The sequence below is a fragment of the Homo sapiens genome, chromosome 14, assembly GCF_000001405.40.
Source record: "Homo sapiens chromosome 14, GRCh38.p14 Primary Assembly".
Lineage (NCBI taxonomy): Eukaryota > Metazoa > Chordata > Mammalia > Primates > Hominidae > Homo > Homo sapiens.
In genome coordinates this window covers 50,646,830-50,668,741 of record NC_000014.9, presented here as the reverse complement: position 1 = coordinate 50,668,741, position 21,912 = coordinate 50,646,830, and the positions used below count along the sequence as shown (strand labels likewise).

General features: G+C 39.3%; 1 protein-coding gene across 3 annotated transcripts in view, besides 4 other annotated features; it reads left to right on the top strand.

Moving 5' to 3' along the window:
• Positions 199-768: a silencer, noted in NCBI's record as "silent region_5726". NCBI's record gives its function as "represses an Ori minimal core promoter by ATAC-STARR-seq in GM12878 lymphoblastoid cells {active_cell/tissue: GM12878}" and the evidence as "EXISTENCE:reporter gene assay evidence [ECO:0000049][PMID:35858748]".
• SAV1 (salvador family WW domain containing protein 1) overlaps positions 436-21,912 on the top strand; it is a 34,727-nt gene continuing 13,250 nt past the window's right edge. Inside the window, exons 1-3 of one of the 3 annotated variants that reach the window (XM_011537057.4) lie at positions 436-868; positions 1,242-1,360; positions 3,123-3,563. In XM_011537057.4, coding sequence (XP_011535359.1) covers positions 3,128-3,563 — 436 coding nt within the window. In that variant the 5' untranslated portion in view covers positions 436-868; positions 1,242-1,360; positions 3,123-3,127. Of the gene's footprint in view, positions 869-1,241; positions 1,361-3,122; positions 3,564-19,352; positions 19,436-21,912 lie in introns of all 3 variants that reach the window. The other 2 variants (XM_047431659.1, NM_021818.4) reach the window with 2 other exon arrangements.
• Positions 879-1,008: a silencer, noted in NCBI's record as "silent region_5725". NCBI's record gives its function as "represses an Ori minimal core promoter by ATAC-STARR-seq in GM12878 lymphoblastoid cells {active_cell/tissue: GM12878}" and the evidence as "EXISTENCE:reporter gene assay evidence [ECO:0000049][PMID:35858748]".
• Positions 1,369-1,438: an enhancer, noted in NCBI's record as "active region_8361". NCBI's record gives its function as "activates an Ori minimal core promoter by ATAC-STARR-seq in GM12878 lymphoblastoid cells {active_cell/tissue: GM12878}" and the evidence as "EXISTENCE:reporter gene assay evidence [ECO:0000049][PMID:35858748]".
• Positions 11,010-11,509: an enhancer, noted in NCBI's record as "H3K27ac hESC enhancer chr14:51123951-51124450 (GRCh37/hg19 assembly coordinates)". NCBI's record gives its function as "activates a minimal SCP1, AML or CMV promoter by ChIP-STARR-seq in primed H9 embryonic stem cells {active_cell/tissue: H9 hESC(primed)}" and the evidence as "EXISTENCE:reporter gene assay evidence [ECO:0000049][PMID:30033119]".

Here is a 21,912-nt window from a genome sequence, read left to right as displayed (position 1 = left end):
TTAGAGAGCTGAATTCAGCAGCCTAGGAAACATTAGGAAGAACACCTTCAAACAGGGAACAACGTCTTGGGGGGAAAGAGAGTCACTGCCTCCGCTAGGGATCCCGAGGGGGTACAAAAGCAACAACAATAAAAACTCGTGGAGAGTAGGTTCCACGACATGCGCATGCGACGAACTCCCGCACTCAGCGGGGCAGGTTTCGTCCTTCATCTTCTCAGTCGGCAGGACCTGCTTCTCGCTGAGGATGAGTGAGGACAGCCGCAGCTCGGCGGGGACGGCCCGGTAGCCTAGAGCGCCGGCACCCGAGTCCCGCCGCCGGAGCCGCGCCTGGAGCCGCGGTGGGGGAGGGGCAGCGGCGGCCCGCGCTGCGTCGAGCTTCCCAGAATTCCCAGCGGCCGCGGGGAAAGTTTACGGGATGTAGGCGGCGGCGGCGGTAGTGGTAGCGGTTATTCGGCGGCCCGCGGCGGACCATGGCCCTGGCCCTGGCCCGGCGTCGCTGGGCTTTCCTCACGGCGTCCCCGAGCAGCGTCGCAGAGCGGGCCGACTTCCGGGAAGGAACTGACCAGCGACTGAGCGGCGGCCGGCGCGCTTAGCGCCCTGAACATGCGGCAGTCCCTGCGGGCGACCCCGGGCTCCGGACAGGCGGCGGCGGAGGCGGCGGCTCGGGAGGGAAGGAGGCGGCGGCGCCGGCGGAGGTGGCGGCGGAGACGGCCGGCGCCCGGCGCGGAGCCCTAGGGAGGCAGTTCAGCGCGGCCTCGGGCCTCGTCGAGAAGGATGCTGTCCCGAAAGAAAACCAAAAACGAAGTGTCCAAGCCGGCCGAGGTGCAGGGGAAGTACGTGAAGAAGGAGACGTCGCCTCTGCTTCGGAGTGAGTGTCAGGCGGGGCGTGCCCACACCTGGCCCAGGCGGCCAGGTGCTCCGGGGACCCTGGCGGGGGCGCCGGCGGGTCTCCAGGGCTTCTCCTTCGTCCTTGGTCGCGTGAAATACTGGTTTTGAGATTTTCTTGTGTCTGAAGTGGTATTCGTTGATTGAAAGCCCATAAGAGTAAGAAACTTGGGTTAGTCCCCCCCGCGCCTAACCCCCCCAAGAGCACCCCCTAAAAATAACAGACTTCCTCGCCCCACCAGGCAGAGTTGTTGGTTTTGATTACTGGAAGAGAGAGTAGGAAACATTTAAATTGCTTATCACCTAATGCTATAGGAGTAAAAGTAATTAGACAGGGACACTTTTTACTCTTTTAGATGCGTCGAGATGTGCGTCATGTTTGCAAACATTGCGGGTGTCTCTCGACTGTGCTGCAAGTTGTGCGAACTCTGGGGCAGAATTCCTTAGTCCTGCTGCCGGATGCAGACTTGAGAAGGTGAAAAGCATACCGTCGTTCTTGTAGCCGCCACCCAAAGCCTCATCACTCTTACACAGCAGAGCAGAGAGCCAAAAGCCTTTGTATTTGGCTATATTCGTGAGATTCCAAGAAGGCAACTCAAAATAATTTCTATCGTATTAGAGAACCCCCCCCTCGAAAAGTTTTTTTTTTTAATAGGGTAGATCCCACTCCCAATCCCCACCTCCGGTCCCCCGCTGCTTTTCTTCTTAATGTAAGTATTTGATTTTTGAGTTGAATCTCTTGAATTTTTAATTCTTGTGTGTTCAGGACATTTGTGAGGCATGGAGCTGGTATTTTGGTGCTCTTACTGCGCCCTGGGCCCTTTGCTTAAGTTTCCTTCTTGGAAGCTGGTAGTAACCTTGTGACTTAAGTATTACCTCATATTGTAATTGGGAAAGTTAGGTTTCTAGTATTTGCCCAAGATCACACAGATGGGAGAGCATGTTTTTCCATCATAACCACATTGTCAGCCTTCCAGATTTATGGTGGTACTTGCAATACTTTCAACAAAATATATGTCAGTTGAGTACATCAGTAACTCGAAACTTGATTTTTAAGTTGTTTTTTTTTTTTTTTAACAACTTGATTTTCAGTCACACATGCAGTTAGGTTTCTGGCTGTTTTTAAGTGATAGCTTGCTGTTTGCTGCAAATAAAGTTTATCAGACATTACTTGAAATCGTGAATTATGTTTGTCACACTTTTTATTATACTTTAAGTTCTGGGGTACATGTGTAGAACGTGCAGTTTTGTTAATGTTTGTCACAGTTAAGCAAATAACTTTTGATCTACTTTGTTTTGTTGTCGTTACATCAAGTGTTGAGCCTTATTTATTCAGATATTTGTTTCTGTCCAGTGTTAGTTTCTGAAGCTTATTAATATGAGTGTCTCCAATATTGTTTACTTGATGAATAATAAGAGGGTCTGCATATTCAGGTTTTTGTCTTGTTTTAAAGGTATTTGCTTTCTAACTGGGAATGTCTTAAGCTGTTTTCAAGTTTCGTGTTTAAAAGTACTGTATCCTAAAAGCTGTTGTTCTATTATCTACTATTTTGAATTATAATTACATAGTTTCAGGCTTGGTTTTTTGAGCCACTTCTACATTTGTGTGCTTCTTTGAAATGAGAGCTTTTTATTTTCAATTTTCATACATAAATTTTTGGCTTTCTAGCTTTTGATTACTGTGCTAGTGCTAGGTAATTCCAAGAGAAGAAAGAGCTACTAATTTTTTAATTTTTAAAGGAATCCACTTTTACATATTTGGGAGTAGCATTAAGTTCTATTTTTGAAATTGTGTTTGCTTCAAGAAGGATTTTTGGCAGTTTCTAAAATGAAGTGAGAACAACAAAATAAACTACTTAACTAGAAACTATCAATTTGTTATATTATTTCCTATTTTTATACATTAATTCATGAGCATTTCATTAATGTGTAGTTCATAGATAAGATTATTGATATTTTATCATATTATGTATGGTAGTATGCAGAATACATTTTATTCTAGCTGAGCTTTTACGCATAGTCCATTAATGCAAGTTATATAAATTCATTTGATTGGGAAAATATTAATCTTCCTCAATTTAAAATGCCCAAGTACCATCCTAAACCAAAATTTAAAATTGTGTTTTCTTAAGTTGACTGACATTTTGATTTTGGGGTGGTAGACATAAATGAACAAATTTCGAAAACTTTTGTTACTTAATGATGAAAGGGTAATTTTATCCTTTGTTTTATTGTAGATCTTATGCCTTCATTCATCCGGCATGGTCCAACAATTCCAAGACGAACTGATATCTGTCTTCCAGATTCAAGCCCTAATGCCTTTTCAACTTCTGGAGATGTAGTTTCAAGAAACCAGAGTTTCCTTAGAACTCCAATTCAAAGAACACCTCATGAAATAATGAGAAGAGAAAGCAACAGATTATCTGCACCTTCTTATCTTGCCAGAAGTCTAGCAGATGTCCCTAGAGAGTATGGTTCTTCTCAGTCATTTGTAACGGAAGTTAGTTTTGCTGTTGAAAATGGAGACTCTGGTTCCCGATATTATTATTCAGACAATTTTTTTGATGGTCAGAGAAAGCGGCCACTTGGAGATCGTGCACATGAAGACTACAGATATTATGAATACAACCATGATCTCTTCCAAAGAATGCCACAGAATCAGGGGAGGCATGCTTCAGGTAGCTTAACATTATAAATAATATAGTAGTTTATATTTATTGACATGTCAATTAAAAAGATGTTCTTTTCTAGATTTTCTTGGGACACGAACAAATACTACTAGCGAAATGTTTTTCCACTTTGCTCATCCTGCTTAAGCCTGTGTGCAAATAGTTGTTAATCTACACTGAATGGAAGAGTCCTTGTGACCATTTATTTTATTAACTCATGTTATGTAAACTTGGTATTTATCTCAAGGCTGTCTAGACTCTTAATGCTGTGACCCTTGAAAACCTAGAGAATTTAATGTCTCCAGTTGGGCTGAATTTAGGTTTAGGTTTGGTAGAATAATGGGAAGGGTAAGTCTTCAGAGACACTTGACGGAGTCCTCAGAGACACTTGACAAACTTGGGAAAGGAAAGAAGAGTAGGAACAACTGGGCATGCTCAGTGATACCCTGAGCAACCACATTACTTCGCTAGATCCTGCCCTTTTTCTCAACAAAAAGTAGTTCAAGAATTATTTCCTGAGTTGATCAAAAAGACTTATTGTCATATGGTTAATTATGTGTTGAGCATGTCTTTTTATTATTTTTGTAACAGACAAAAAAAATTACCATATAATTTAAGAAAAGAAGGTACTTTCCATATCTCCTGAGTTGGAGATACTTCTGAAAGGAGCAGAAGAGATGGGAGAAATGTACAATTCTACTTTATTCCTGAAGTCCTGGTTTTACCAGATAAAATGAAGTGAGATGAAAATTAAACTTTCTTGTCTGATTTTTTTTTTCTACCAAGTTATAGACTTTAAATTTTGGCAGGATAAAAATAAAATGTGAGACAGATTTACTTTTTGGCTCACATAACTTCAAATAAGGCGACTTAAAAATGGTTTGGAGCATTAGTATTTTGACTGTAGAAAAAATTTATTCATTTAATATTAACTGTTTATGTGTCTAGCGTTTTCCTTGGGTCTGTTGGTCTCTGCTTTCTGGTACCTTATTTGTCTAGTACCTTATTTGTGGAAACAAAACCAATCTATACACAATGGTCACAGAAAAATTGTTATACTTTGTGATACTAACTGTAAGTGCAACAGGGAATCAGAAGAGAGATGAGTATAGGCTGGAATACTTAAAGAGATGATTCATGGAAGAGGTAGGACTTGGAGTGGGCCTTGAGCTTGGCCTTTAGATTAACAAGGGCCAGAAGAAGGACATTTTACGTGGAAAATTGGGAATAGCACAATGAAAACAGAGTAGGCATGGTTTAAATATAAGGAACAGTGTAGTTCTGCCTGGTTTGAAGAAATAAGATGTAAGGTTGAGTGGAGATTTGTGGTTCAACAATAGGCTTAGATTTGAGTCAAGTGGAAGCTCTTGCACATTTCGGAAAGACAAGTGATTTTATGAAAGCAGTGTTTAAAGATTAGTTTTGTACTAGAATTAAGGGTAGATTCCTAGAGAAAAGAGGATTGCAGGTACCAGTGGGTACCAGTGGTAATAGGAAAACGCAAATCTAGGATGCTTTTAAAGGAAAAATGAGAATTAGAGTTTAGGAGAAAGCAGATCACTGAAGTTTTAAAAATAATGTGGAATAGTTGGTAAGAACAACTTATTTTATGAAAGCTGACATCAGAGTCTCACTGGAACATTGTAGAGGAGAGGTTTTCTAGGCATGTGGAAATGCAGTAAGAGGCATGGGTAAAAGCACCTTTTAGTTTTTAAGGAATTAGGTTAAAGAATTAGCTGCATGCTTGAGTGTTTATTTTGGTTATTTCTGATATGCAGTTCTGAACCTCAGGAATAATTTGTTATCTAACTAAAATAGTAAGTTTTAAAAATAAAGCTCATTTATATTTTCTTCTAGAATAATAACTGCTTATTACAGGAAATTTGCAAAATGCAGAAACGTAAAGGCAAAGTACCTGTCCACCAGAGATCCTCTTAGTATGTTATTTTCTTCATCTTTTTCCATGCCAAATTCTTTTTTTACATGGATGTGATTATATAATATTTTGTACAGTTTTCTGTTCTTTTTACTTGAATGATTTTCTTCATGTTGTATACTTTTTATGAGTGGTTTTAATGACTGCGTAATCTTCCATTTGGTGCATATTCAGTGGTTAATGAGGACTTGACCTATACTTCAGAAATTTGGAAAGAGGAGAAGTGGGACACGCCCACATTAATGGGACTTGGCCACTAACGGGGTTTGAAGGACAAAGGAGAGGGAAGAGTCAGATAGGATTAGCACAGCACATGACTGCCTAAGAGATGCTCACAAAAATAAATGGCTGAATGAGTGAATGAACCCAGCGGTTTTAAATCTGGAGGCTTAAGACAGTTTTTGGTAGCTGAGGGAGAACAGAAATAGCTATGTTTACTGTTAATATAGAATATGTGTTATTCTTTGCGTTCACCTTTCCCACCTATATTGTAGACGTCACTGATAGCTTGTAATACTTTTCTACCTGAGGTTTAAGTATGTAAATATGAGGAATTAATAACAAGTTAAACTCTTGTTTTGAAAATCTAATTTGCCAAATATAATTGAGGAAATACTATAAGAACTAAATCTCTACTGATCCTCTCTTAGGAGCAATTTGAGATAATTTTTCTAAGTTTAAAGACAGACTTTAAAGCAACTTTCCAGTCACAACTTCAAAATAAAGTACAAGTTAATTGCATACGTTTTCAGATTCAAGTATGTCATTAAAAAAATAAGATTTCAGGCTGGGCACGGTGGCTCACGCCTGTAATCCCAGCACTTTGGGAGGCCAAGGAGGGTGGATCACGAGGTCAGGAGATTGAGGCCATCCTGGCTAACACGGTGAAACCCTGTCTCTACTAAAAATAAAAAAATTAGCCGGGCGTGGTGGCAGGCGCCTGTAGTCCCAGCTACTTGGGAGGCTGAGGCAGGAGAATGGTGTGAACCCGGGAGGCGGAGCTTGCAGTGAGCTGAGATTGCGCCACTGCACTCCAGCCTGGGCAACAGAGTGAGACTCCGTCTCAAAATAAATAAATAAATAAATAAATAACAAGATTTCAAAACACTGATGAAAGAAATTGAAGAGCACAAAAACAAATGGAAAGACATCCCATGCTCATGGGTCAGAAGAATTAACATCATTAAAATGACCATGTTGCTCAAAGTAATCTACAGATTGAATGCAATCCCTATTAAAATACCAGTCATTTTTCACAGAAATAAAACAATCCTAAAATTTCCACAGAACCAACAAGGAGCCCAAATACCCAAAGTAATCCTGAGCAAACCGAACAAAGCTAGAAGCATCACACTACCTGTCTTCGAAATAAGGCTATAGTAACCACATACAAGGTTATAGTAACCACAAATAAGGCTATAGTAACCACAATAATATGGTATTGGTATAGAAAGACACATAGACCAATGGAACAAAAATAGGTAATGCAGAAATAAATCCACATATTTACAGCCAACTGATTTTTTTACAAAAGCACCAAGAACGTGCATTGGGAAAAGGACACTTTCTTCAATAAACGATGCTGGGAAAATTGGATATCCACATGCAGAAGAATGAAATCTGACCCTTGTCTCACCATATGCAAATTCAACTTGAGATGGATTAAAGACTTAAGACCTGAAATTATAAAAGTACTAGAAGAAAATGTAGGGGAAACACTTCAGGACATCGATCTAACAAAGATTTTATGGCTAAGACCTCAAAAGCACAGGCAACAAAAACAAATAGACATATGGGACTATATTAAACCAAAAGGCGTCTGCACAGTAAAGGAAACAACAGAATGAAGAGACAACATATTGAATAGGAGAAAGTGTTTGCAAAAGATTCATCCAGCAAGGGACTAATATCCAGAATATGCAAGGAAGCCAACAGTAAGAAAAACAACCCCATTAAAAAGTGGGCAAAGGACATGAATAGACGTTTCTCAAAAGAAGACATACAAATGGCCAAAAGGTATGTGAAAAAATGTGCAACATCACTAATCGTCAAGGAAATGTAAGTGAAAACCACAGTGAGGTGTCTTACCCCAGTCAGAATGGCTATTGTTAAAAAGACAAAAAAATATACTACTGGTGAGAGTGTGAAGAAAAGGCAACTGTTACAGACTGTTGGTGGGAATGTTACAATAATTAGGACAGGCACTATGAAAAACAGTTTGGAAATTTCTCAGAAAACCGAAAACAGAACTACCATATGATCCGGCAGTTCCACTGCTGGGTATCTATCTAAAGGAAAAGAAATCAGTATATCAAAGAAATACCTGCACTCCCATGTTTATCATGTCATTTGCAGCAGCTTGAATGGAACTGGAGGTCATTATATTAAGGGAAATCAGGCACAGAAAGAGAAGTGTCTCATGTTCTTACTCACATGTGGGAGCGAAACACATTGATTTCATGGAGATAGAATGATAGCAGAGGTTGGGAAGGATGGGAGGGGAGGTAAAGAGAGGTAGGTTAATGGGTCCAAACATAAAGTTAGATGGAATAAGTTCTAAGGTTTGATAGCAGAGTAGGGTAACTACAGTTAACATTTTGAAATAGCTAAAAGAGAGGACTTGAAATGTTCCCAACACATAGAAATGATAAATACTCACGGTGATGGATACCCTAAATACCCTGACTTGATTATTTCATACTCTTTGCATGTATCACAATATCACATGTACCCCATAAACATGTGCAAATAATTATGTATCCAAAAAATGCTATAAAACAATGTTACCACCTGACTGGGCTCTTGTCTGCTATCCGAATAGAGCAGAACACTGAGACAGCAGATACTGTAAAGAAGAAAGAGTTTAATTATTGCAAGGCAGCTGAGTAAGGAGGATGGGAAATGTTTCTCAGAGTCATCACCGCCAAGACTGGAGAAGCTAAGATATTTAAAGATGATTTGGCAGGCAGGGGGCTAGGGGATGGGTGCTGGTGATTGGACTGGTATGAGATCATAGGGTTATCAATGCTGTCTTCATGTGCTGAATCAGTTGCTGGGAAATTGGGGAGTCACAAGACCAAGTCAGTTCCTTGGTTGAGTTCATGGAACACTGGTCCATTTGGTGTCAGTTGGTCCACTTGTAAGCAAAGTCTGAAAAATATCTCGAAGACCAGTCTTAGGTTTTACAGTAGTGTTTGTGACTGCCAGTTACTATGGAAAGAAAGCTGGGAAAAAATGGCAGGTTACTGTTTAAACCTATAGCTTAGCAGAAGAGTTTGCAGGAGGTGAGATCACCAGTGATCAAAGTGGCCTGGCCTGTTTGGCCAGTCCAAATTCTGGAAACTATCAAGGGGGTCTGTGTGATCTAGGATCATTGTTTTCTTGTTCTTCTCTTCTATTTTCTTTTTTGAGACAGGATCTTGCTCTGTTGCCCGGGCTGTAGTGCAGTAGCATGATCACAGCTCACTGCAGCCTCGACCTCGGGCTCAAGCAATCCTCCCACCTCAGCCTCCTGAGTAGCTGGGACTACAGGCATGCACCACCACACCTGGCTAATTTTTTGTATTTTTAGTAGAGACTGAATTTCAGTGTTGCCCAGGCTGGTCAAACTCCCAAGCTCAAGCAATCTGCCTGCCTTGGCCTCCCAAAGTGCTGGGATTACAGGCATGTGCCGCAGCACCCAGTCTGGATTATTGTTCTTTAAAAGAAACAGGTTTGTTAATCTTATGGGCAGCCTGCCCAGGGGCTGCCACAGGAAGACAATTATTAGTGACTGCCATTTGTTGAAATGACTTTGCAAGCAGTCATACATGGAGGTGGAAAAAGAGAAGGAAAATATTTTATCAAAATTCGGGCCCCTACCGTAATTTTAATCTTGAGGGTGTTTTTAATTTTATGAGGGAGGCTTCAGCAGGAGTCAGCAAGCTACACCCATAGGCCAGATAGACTTGCCTCCTGCAATACAGTAGTTTTATTGGAACACACATGCACTGAAATAAGATTTGATTTCATGGAATAGCCAAGACCTTGTTTTAATGAGACAGTAGACTTCTGCCTTCGAAGTCTCATCCCAGGCTCTTTTATATCAGATTGCGTTAGGTTTAAAGAAGGTTGCAGGTAGTTGAAGAATCTCAGGTAATAAGGTATCTCTCCCAACCAAAAAAAAAAAAAAAAAAAAATTCTTTACAGCAGTTGATACACTGCTTGAGAGCTTGAGAGACTTCATTTGATAAGATTAATTTTTATCAGGGCAATATAGATTTAATGTTTTACCTTGTAGAAAAAAGTAGTACTTTTTTTGAAGGAATCTCTAAAGTTGCAGGGAAAGATTAATAACCAATTACATGCCAAACAGAAAAGCCTAATAACTGCCTCTTCCACAAGGGAAAAATCTGAATATGAGACAGTAGCTGAAAGTTTCTTGAATTCACCTTGAGAAGACTTAAAACATATTTTTAGGATTTATGCTGAATAAGGTTCAAGGAATTTGAATGAATAGAAAGGAGAAAGTAAGTTTGTAGGAGGATAGGATAGGTTTGTGCGATAGATCTATTTTCAGAAACATTGAATTTTGATTGTCATAAGCATAAAAAGGTTGGAAAATTTGTTTTGTAATGACTTAATGGCAATAGTAATTCCTGTCAATTAGTTATTAGATTTTCAGGAAACACCTTGTGTCAAGGGTTAAATTCAGCTTATTGTATTTAGTAGAAGCACAAAAACAAGTTGTATAATCTCAGAAAGTTTTAGAGCCTAGAAAGTTCTACGTTTAGCTGTAGAACTTTCAGATTAGAAAATTTGACCTTTAATGTTCTTGGCCGCATACCAGTCACGCACTTACTGTATGTTCCAAAGAAAGGAATCCTGCTGTTAACAGGAAGTCTTTAGTTGGAATACTAAAGGCAGACTGAATTCCTTTGTTTTGCGCTTAAATTTTAGTTCTGTCTCGAAAACATTTTTAAACGTTTAAAGATGACTAAAGAAATCAGGATACAAAAATCAGACTGAAAAGTGTGAGCTTTATCAAGAAATACTGGATTTGCAGTTACTCGGGTAATGTGTAAATATTTGTGTAACCAGAATCTTTTGAGGAGGGGTTGATAATCTTTAGAGACACCACCTTTTCTGTATTTATTTTGCAGAGGAAGAGAGAAAGCATTTGGTTGAGTTTAATACTTAGATCTTTTTATCAACATCTTGATTATAACACATGCTAATAATGTGTAGCATCCATTACTAGGGACCCTGTGGAACTGTGTTAGAGCTCTAGATCCATTTTATTCTCTGTAGCCACTACAAAATTTGGAAACCGGCCTATTTGAGTCTTATTCATAATGGTAGATCTCATAAATATCTGCCTGGTTGTATGAGATTAAGTTTTTTGGCACATCTACTGATAGCTGAGAGAGAAAATAATACTTTATCTGTGTCTTCGACTAAGTCATATGTTTAGTGTGTGAATGTTTTACTTTGTATTAATAGAAGGTGTTTGTGCAGTTAATTCCTGCAAATAGAAGCTGTTTTGAGGATTAATTGTGAATCCAGTTTATTACTTTCAAGGACTACTTGAAATTACAGAAAGGTAATTTTGTTCTTGTCACTCAAAAACTGAAGTTACCATTTTTTCCCACTGATTTGGATCAAAATTGGTGGCTTGCTTTTTCTTTTACTAGTGGTAGTCATATTTTTCTTTAAAGAATAAATAACAATTGATCTTTTGTTGCTGAGATTACATGGTTAGTAACAGGTTTGCATTTGACCTTATACCACTTGTTGTGTGACCACTGGTAAAATAATTCACTTGAACCTGTTTTCTCATCTGTAAATTGGTGGTAATAGTACTACCTCCTAGAGCAGTTTTGGCTATGAAATAAGACATATGGAAAGAGCTGGGGATAGAATACACATCCATAACTGTTTGCACATGTCCTTTGTAAGAGTGAGTATTTCCCAGCACTTTGGGAGGCCGAGGCAGGTGGATCACAAGGTCAGGAGTTCAAGACCAGCCTGACCAACATGGTGAAACCCCGTCTCTACTAAAAATACAAAAATTAGCTGGGCATGGTGGTGTGTGCCTGTAATCCCAGCTACTCAGGAGTCTGAGGCAGGAGAATCGCTTGAACCAGGGAACCCGCGGTGTGGAGGGTGCAGTGAGCCAAGATTGTGCCACTGCCCTCCAGCATGGGCGACAGCGTGAGACTCCGTCTCAAAAAAAAAAAAAAAAAAAAGTGAGTGTTTTGTGTTCTGTGCTTTTCCCACATACTTGGGATGTTAGTTATTGAAGTTTGAGCTTTCTGGCTGAACTCATACTGGAGGAATGATTTATTAGAGCTTGACATAGCTTTTTTATTTTTTAATCTTCTGGATCTGTTTTGGTAATGCTTTATGCTTTAGAACAGTGGTTTGCATTGTTTTGTACTGTACATTTATCTCAATAGATTTTGTAAAATTATCCCAAATAATAATTTGAAAAAATATATCACACATTGTGCTTTCAGAAAGTACAGCTGGGGCCGGGCACGGTGGCTCACGCCTGTAATCCCAGCACTTTGGGAGGCTGAGACGGGCGGATCATGAGGTCAGGAGATCGAGACCATCCTGGCTAACACAGTGAAACCCCGTCTCTACTAAAAATACAAAAAATTAGCCAGGTGTGGTGGCGGGTGCCTGTAGTCCCAGCTACTCAGGAGGCTGAGGCAGGAGAATGGCATGAACCCAGGAGGCAGAGCTTGCAGTGAGCGGAGATCGCGCCACCGCACTCCAACCTGGGCGACAAGAGTGAGACTCCATCTCAAAAAAAAAAAAAAAAAAATACAGTTGGGGTATGTTTTGAAATTATTAATAGATATCTCTAAGAAAGTTTAGGAATCATGGCTTTACAGGGCATTGGAGTTTTTTAATAGCGTTAGTAAAGCTGATGTGCCTATTTGCAACTTTTTGGGTACTTCATGGCTCCTTTATCAAATTGTCAGGCTTTAAAAATGAGAGTATTTACAGAGAGGTCTTTGTGCTTCCTTTAAATATGAATCCCAAATTTATAGTCAGATATGGCTTTTGGTACCTAATGTTGTTTAAATGTAAGAGTACATGTGGTTCTAGATTTAGGCAAGTTCAGTACATATATGGAAGTATGGGTTTTCTTAATAGATGAAATTGCCACAAACTTTTAATACGCTCTAAACCTGTATAGTTTTTGTTTTTGTTTTTGAGACGGAGTTTCACTTTTGTTGCCCAGGCTGGAGTGCAATGGCACGATCTTGGCTCACCACAACCTCTGCCTCCTGGGTTCAAGTGATTCTTCTGCCTCATCCTCTCTAGTAGCTGGAATTACAGGCATATGCCACCATGCCCGGCTAAGTTTGTATTTTTAGTAGAGATGGGGTTTCTCCATGTTGGTCAGGCTGGTCGTGAACTCCTGACCTCAGGTGATCCACCCACCTCGGCCCCCCAGTGCTGGGATCACAGGCATGAGCCACCACACCTGGCCCTTGTCTTGTTTTTAATTACTATAAAGGCTTTTGTTTTTAGGCAGGGTATAGTGGCTCACGCCTGGAATCCTAGCACTTTGGGAGGCCAAGACAGATGGATCACCTAAGGTCAGGAGTTGGAGACCAGCCTGACCAACACGGTGAAACCCCATCTCTACTAAAAATACAAAAAGTAGCCAGGCATGGTGGCAGGTTCCTGTAATCTCACCTACTCGGGAGGCTGAGGCAGGAGAATCGCTTGAACCTGAGAGGTGGAGGTTGCAGTGAGCCGAGATTGCATCACTGACTTTAGCCTGGGGGACGAGGCTAGACTCTGTCTCAAAAAAAAAAAAAAAGGCAGCTTTTGTTTTTAATAATGCAGTATTTAGAATTTTGTTTCTATTATATATTTCCTGAGGGAAGCTCTGTTAGCCAAAATATTATGGCTTTTATAAGTAACTCATATAAATACACTGAATTGACTATACATTAGAAAAAATTGTTACATTGTTATGCTTGGTTTTGGCTGTAAAGCATTTTTAACATAATGAACATATTAGAATGTAAAGTAATTTTGTGTTTCTACGATGTGATATTAAAGTCATTTGCTGTGTACATGTGTTTCATACATTGGCTTCTTTTCTGTTTAAATATTTTCTCTTTAAGTACTGAAGTTGCTTAAACTATACATATTAAACTTTCAATTGCAGTTTAATAGAAGCCTAAGGTCAGTTTCACCAAAAGGCTTGTTTTGTTCTGTTTTATTGTCACCATCTTTAAAAAATTATATGTTAGCTTTCTTTTGAAAGGGTACCGAACAAGGGTGATCTACTTGTTCTTGCATCTGTTTTTGTTCTTGCATCCTTTTTGCCAGAATACTGCATAGATAATGTTGTGTACTTTCTATTGCATAGGTTCCAGTGACATATAATGACTGATTTGTCTGTGATGTTAAGATGCAGCCATGGGTACAGATGTCAGCTTAATTCATCCATCATCATGAAGTTCTCCATAAGCCTTTTATCTATTATTGGTTTTTGGCAGCCATTAATGATCATTGGCTAGCACTATTACAGGCATACCTCATTTTATTGTGCTTTGCTCTATTGTGTTTCGCAGATACTGTGTTTTTTACAAATTGAAGGTTTGTGGCAGTCCAACAGCACGTGCGCATTTCATGTCTCTGTGTCACATCTTGGTAATTCTTGCAATATTTCAAACTTTTTTCATTTCTGCCTGTTATGGTGATCTGTGATCAGTGATTGCTCATGTTACTATTGTAATTGTTTTGGGACATCACAAGGAATTGCACTTGTGTGCAAACTAAACTAAAATAAGAAGTGGAGCCTGATGATGTGACTGCATTGCTGCTGGTCTCATGATAAAACTTGAACAGATGAGTTGCTTTTTATGGATGAGCAAAGAAAGTGGTTTCTTGAGATAGAATATACTCCTGGTGAAGAAGCTGTAAATATTGTTGAAATGACTAATGATTTAGGATATTAAATAAATTTAATTGATAAAGTAGCAGTGGAATTTGAGAGGATTGAGGCCAGTTTGAAAGAAATGCTACTGTGGGTAAAATGCTGTCAAACAGCATCACATGCTACAGAAAAATCTTTCATGAAAGGTAAAGTCCATTGATGGAGCAAACTTCATTGTTGTTTTTAAGAAATTGCCACAGCTATCCCAGCCTTCAAACACCACCAGCCTGATTAGTCAGCAGCCATCAATATGGAGACGGGACCCTCCACTAGCAAAAAGATGCTGTGAACTCACTAAAGGCTCAGATAATCATTAGCATTTTTGTAGCAATACAATTTTTTTTATTAAGACCTGTACTTTTTTTAAAGATATAATGCTATTGCACACTTAATAGACTGCAATATATTGTAAAATATAACTTTTTTTTTTTTTTGAGATGGAGTCTCACTCTGTTGCCAGGTTGGAGTGCAGTGGCATGATCTCGGCTCACTGCCACCCCCACTTCCCAGGTTCAAGCAATTCTGCTGCCTCAGCCTCCCGAGTAGCTGGGACTACAAGTATGCGCCACCAGGCCCAGCTAATTTTTGTATTTTTAGTAGAGACAGGGTTTCACCATGTTGGCCAGGATGGTCTCGATCTCTTGACCTCGTGATACACCTGCCTCGGCCTCCCAAAGTGCTGGGATTACAGGTGTGAGCCACCGTGTCCGGCCGTAAAGATAACTTTAAGGTTCACTGGGAAACAAACAAATTCACGTAACTCGCTTTATTGCAATATTCACTTTATTGCAGTAATCTGGAACCAAACCTGAAATATCTCCAAAGTATGTCTAAGTGTTGCAAATTTTGATACTTGAATTCTGTCATTTCTTCTTTATTAGTTGGAATATTATAATTAAGGACTTTATCAATTATTTGGTTGCTGTTCATATAGGAAAGAAGGGTTGAATGCTAGATCTTTTCCTTTGTTTGCTATTTCAGAATGATGAATTGATACCCTAGCCACCTACAAAAGTAACCATGAACTCATGGATTTTTAACGCCAAGCTTTATTTGGATTTTATCATTTTTTTATTAATGTTTATTTTCTGTTCTAGGATTCATTCCAGAGTGTACTGCATTGCATTTCATTGTTGTATGTCTTTAGTCTTATTTAATCTATGCTAGTTTCTCAGTCTTTTGTTTTTTATGACCTTGACAGTTTTGAGGAGTACAGAATGTTTTGTAGATTGTACCTCAATTTCAATTCATTTTTTTTTCAATTTCTTTTTTTTTAGACGTCTCCCTCTGTCACCCAGGCTGGAGTGCAGTGGCACAATCTTGGCTCATTGCAACCTCCACCTCCCGGGTTCAAGCAGTTCTCCTGCCTCAGCCTCCTGAATAGCTGGGATCACTGCCACGTGCCACCACGCCTGGCTAATTTTTGTATATTCAGTAGAGATGGAGTTTCGCCATGTTGGCCAGGCAGGTCTTGAACTCTTGACCTCAGGTGATGCACCCGCCTTGGCCTCCCAAAGTGTTGGGATTATAGGCGTGAGCCACTGTGCCCAGCCTTTTTTTTCAATTTCAAAAGTCTGATGTTTTTCTCATGTTCCATATTATCATGTATTTTCCCTGACCCAGAAGCCGTTTCTCCAAGATGAGCTGGTTGATTTTAAGATTTTTATACTTAGTTTTAATTATTGGTGTGGTAATTCCTTTTGATGTTTAAATTGCTGCTGCTTTGGTGGCAGGAGCCCTTTCAATGTTGGTTCCTTTTTATTTCTCTTTGCTTTCTAATGTGACTAGATGTTCCAGGCTCATATTGTGCATTTTCTGCCTCAGTCCTGTACTCAACCATTCTAAGGATCCCTGGTTCCTTTCGATGGGGAAATAGTATTCAGGGATTGCACTCTTGTACTCATTGCTATTTGGTGGATTAATGCTTGTAGACCTTTTCAATGGACATATCTGGGAAATATGTTTTGTTGCTTTCTGGAAATAGAAATTCATTATGAGTTCATACTGTTGGCAGTTTAAGATTTCCAAGTTTTTACTTTTAGCTTTTTAAAAAAATGTTTAATTGTGATAAAATACACATAACAACATTTACCATCTTAACCATTTTTAAGTGTACAGTTTGTTGGCAGTAAGTACATTCACATTGAACTACCTTCTTTTTGCCTTAGGTTTTTATTTTTTTCTCATACTGAAAATCTTGGTTCCTGTTGACAATTATGTAACTATTCATTTGCTTTATCTGTAGCATAACTAGCTTTAAAAATAGTATCATCGACAATATGATTACTGAATAAAACAGAAGATTTCTTTGTAGTTTATTTTTTAAATTTAGGATATTTCCCGATGAGGAAGTACAATTTATTCTCTTTGGGCCGGGCACAGGGGCGCATGCCTGTAATCCTAGCACACTGGGAGGCTGTGATGGGAGGAATGCTTGAGTCTAAGGGTTTTGAGACCAGCCTGGGCAACATAGTGAGACCCTGTCTTTACAAAAAATAATAAAAGAAATTAGCCAGGCTTGGTGGTGCATGCCCATAGTCACACCTACTTGGGAGGCTGAGGTGGGAGGATTGCTTGAGCCCAGGAGGTTGAGACTGCAGTGAGCCGTAATTGTGCCACTGCACTCCAGCCTGGGTGACAGAGTGAGACCCTGTCTCAAAAATAAATAACAATAAATAAGTAATACATAAAATTCACTTTGAATTAATTTTTCTGAAGTATGCTTTAGCTGCTTCATGTACTCTTAGATTTGTTTACTTCATTTTGTTTTCACTTTTTAGGGATTGCTTTTTCTAAATTTTGATTTAATTTTGTTGTAAGTTACATAGGATATTTAAAAGGTTGCAAAATCAAAATGATAAAACAGAATGCATTTAGAAAATTAATTCTACCCCTGTCCTCTTCCACCCCATTTCCTTCCTCCCCCTGTAAATACCCAATTTTATTAATTTTTGTTACATATTTCATTGCAACACTTTATGAAAATAGATACAAATTACATATATATGTAAAATATGTATTCATATTATTCTCTTTCATATGTATTGTGTTAGGTTTCTGTAGCTGTAAAACACATTACTTCCAAACTCATTGGCATAAAACAATAAACATTTATTATCTCAGTTTCTGTGGTTCAGGATTTTGGAAGCGGCTTAGCCAGGTCATTCTGACTCAGGATCTCTCATGAAGTTGGAGTTCACACACGTCAGCTGGGGCTGCAGTTATCCGAAGCTTCGCTCTGGCTGAAAGATCCATTTCTTTCTTTCTTTTTTTTTTTTTGGAGACAGAGTCTCTCTCTGTTGCTCAGGCTTGAGTGCAGTGGCGCGCTCTCGGCTCACTGCATCCTCCATCTCCCAGGTTCAAGTGTTCTCCTGCCTCAGCCTCCTGAGTAGCTGGGACTACAGGCATGTGCCGCCACGCCCAGCTAATTATTTGTAATTTTAGTAGAGATAGGGTTTTGTCGTCTTGGCCCGGCTGGTCTCAAACTTCTGACATCAGGTGGTCCATCCACCTTGGCCTCCCAAAGTGCTGGGATTACAGGTGTGAGCCACTGCGCCCGGCCAAAAGATCCGCTTCTAAGTTCACTCACAAGGCTGTTAACAGGAGGCTTCAGTTCTGGCTGAAGGCCTCAATTCCTCACTCATGGGCTTCTCATGATATGGTATCTGGTTTCCCCCAGGGTGAGTGATGAGAGAGCAAGTACACTTGACCAAGGCAGAAGCTGCACGGTCTTTTATATCCTAATCTCAGAAGTCACACACCATCCTTTCTGCCATAAACTATTGGTCACACAGACAAGGGTGTGAATCCCAGGAGGACAGGGATAATTGGGGCCCAGGTTCACCTTACTGGCTGGCTACTACATATATGTATATATGGTGGTGTACTGTCCAGACTCTTTTTTCACATAATACATCCCGAATATTATTCCAGGGCAATAAATAGAAATCATCTTCATTCATGTTTACAGCTATATAATATAGTACTCTGTTCTGTGCGTGTAATAGTGTAATCATCCAGTTTGCTATTATTGGACATTTGGTTGATTTCTAGCCTTTTGCAACTATAGATGTTGCTGCAGTGACTAGCCTTATGCATATGCATTGTATGTTGTATTTAAATAAAAACAGTTTCTTAAACCACATGCCAATAACCCGTATTTATCCATACACTTACATATCCTTCTTTAGAATCTGAGTTTGAATTGAAGCATTTACCTTAATTTTAAAGTTTCTTCTAAATTACCTTTTGTCACTGGGGTCTGTTTCATTTGCCTTTCTTTAAAGGTAAACTTGATGTTTTCATTTTGCCTTAGTTTCCAGCCAACTGTAATTTTAAAAGCTCTTCAAAGTCAGCTGGGAACTTTTGACTAGTAGATGTTTTGCTCTGGCATGGTACTCCTTCACACCTCAATGGTCACCCAGTCTTTCTTATTTTGACCATTCTGAGATATTCTAAATTTGGCAGTTAGGGCCTTGGGTTGACTGGCAGTCTTCTGTTAACACACTAACTTTTCATTTAAATGCTGTATCCTTGTACCTTTCAGGCACAGGGATTCAAATTTATGTTAAAATTTTGTCTGGGGTGCAACTGTTACAAATAATGAGGATTAATAATAGTATGAACCACATACTGTCTTCCTAGGACTGTGTTAGAACATGCACCAGCAATGATAATACATCTGTATTTGCTGCCTAGTGGCTAACAGATTTACTCTCTTGATTATAAAAAACACCTTCGTTTCAGAACTAGTAAAATATGGGAGTGAAAGAGGCAAAATAAGTCCAAAAATCAAGGAAAATATTTATGCAGTTTCTGTCTCATTGATGTGTGTATCTCCTCCACTAATACTACACTGTCTTTATTACTGCAGCTTATTTATTTAACACTTACTATGTGCTTTATTCTGTAGACACTGTTCTAGAGACTGGAGATGTATCTGTGAACAAAACAAAGATTCCTGTCCTAAGAATCTTCTTTGTGGGATTCTTGTAGGTAAATAAACAAACTAAAATTACATAAGTTAAAAGGTTAAAGTGCTTTTTAAAAAAGTAAAACGGTAAGTAGAAGCTCAGCAGATGTAGACTGCCATAGTAAGAATAAGCTTCATTGAAACATTTGAGAAGAGGCTTGAAGAGGGTGAGAGTGAGCCAAGAGAATATCTGAAGGAAGAATCTTCTAGGGAGAATAAACAGCCAGTACCTGCCGTGTTTGAGAACAGCATCCAGGAGGTGAGTGTAGCTGGAACAGAGTGAGCTAAGGGTAAAAAAAATAGCAGCTTAAGTCAGAGAAGAAATGGAGGTCTGATCATCAGTAGGGCTTCATATTGAAAGTTATACAAGAGATAACTTTCATCAAGTAATGAGACAGTAAAGATAACTTGTACCAAATATCAAGGAAAAAACTTACTGAGCTCAGCCAGTATCACCAACCTGTGGTGAACCAAATAAATACTTCTTGTTTTAAGCCACTGAGTTTCGGGGTGATTTGTTATACATATGCTATTAGTATTCTTTTTTTTTTTGAGACGGAGTCTTGCTCCGTCGCCCAGGCTGGAGTGCAGTGGCGCAATCTCGGCTCACTGCAACCTCCGCCTCCCGGGTTCACGCCATTCTCCTGTCTCAGCCTCCCAAGTAGCTGGGACTACAGGCGCCCGCCACCACGCCCAGCTAATTTTTGTATTTTTAGTAGAGATGGGGTTTCACCGTGTTAGCCAGGATGGTCTCGATCTCCTGACCTCATGATCTGCCCGCCTCGGCCTCCCAAAGTGCTGGGATTACAGGCATGAGCCACCGCACCCGGCCAACTATTAGTATTCTTGTGTGAGAATAAAATTATGCAGCCAGATTATTCTTTTAAAAAGTATAGTAAATTTAACTTTTTTCAAGTTACACAGTTCTGAGTATTAACATATGTATAGATTTCATGTAATGCCTGTGTAATGAGAATACAGAACATTTCAAACACCCTCTAAAATTCCCTTAGGTTGTCCTCTTATAGTCAACTCCTGTCCCTCACCTCCAGTTCCTAGCAATCACTGTTTTCTGTCCTAGTAGTTTTGTGTTTGGAAGAATCTCATAAAAATGGAACTGTACAATTTGTAGCCACTTGAGACTGGCTGCTTTCCCTCAGCATGATACTTCTGAGATTCATCTTTGAGATTCTTGCATGTACCAATAATTAGTTCCATTTTATTCCTGAGTAGATTTCACTGTACAGTTGCACCACAGTTTGTTTATCCATTCTGTTAAAGGACATGTGTGTCATTTCCACTTTGGGGCAAATATGAATACAGTCATTGTAAATATCCACAAATGGGATTTTGTGTGAAGATGACTTCTCATTTCTCTAGGGTAAATATTTGGGAATGGGATTGCTGTAGCATATGAAAAGCATATGTTTAACTTTATAAGAAATTGCTAAGCTGTTCTCCAGAGTGACTGTAGCATTTTGCATCCACACCAGCAGTGTATGGGCATTCCAATTGTTCTGTATCCATGTAAGCACTTGCATTGTCAGGTTTTGTTTGGTTTTTTGGCCATTTTCATAGACGTGTATTGTCATTTCATTATGGTTTTAATTTGCATTTCTCTCACGGCTAATTATGATCCTGAGCATTTTTTCACGTGCTATTTACCATCAATATGTTGTCTTCGGTGAAGTGCCTGTTAAAAATTCTTACCCCCCTTTTTTTTAACTGGGTCGTTTTGTTTTCTTCTTCTGTTTTTGTTTTGAGAGAAGGGGTTTCACTCTGTTGCACAGACCGGAGTGCCGTAGCTGTTCACAGGCATGATGATAGTGTGCTACAGACCTGAAATCTTGGGCTCAAGTAACCCTCCTACTCAGCTTCCTGAGTAGGTTGAACTACAGGTGCGTGTCACTGCAGCAGGCTCAGGGTTGTTTTCTTAATGTTGAGTTTTGAGAATTCTTTGTATATTCTAGGTCAGAGTTCTTTGGCTAATAATGTGATTTGCAAACATTTTCTCCCTGTTTACAGCTTGATTTTCTTTCTCTTAGTGTCCTTCACAAGCGTTTTTAATCTTGACAGAGTTCAATTTAATCAGTATTTTTTCTTTATGAGTTGAACTTTCAGCATCATGGTAAAAAAAAGTACTCTTTGTCTAAACTAAACTCATGAAAATTTATTCTATTTTTTTCTTGTAAAAGCGTTATAGTTTTAAATTTAGATATATGATCTATTTTTAGTTAATTTGTATGTAAGGTGGCAGGTATAGGTTGTGATTAGGTTTTTTGCATATGGATGTCCAGTTGTTGCAACATCATTTGTTGGAAAAACCTTTCCCCGCTATTGCCCTTTCACCTTTATAAAAAAATCAGTTGACCATGTCTGTGTGGGTGTTCTTCTGGATTCTCTGTTTGGTTCCATTTATCTATTTGTCTGTTCTTCTGACAATACCATACTGTCTTGATTAATGTAGCTTTATAGTAAGCCTTAAAAATCAGGTAGTGTG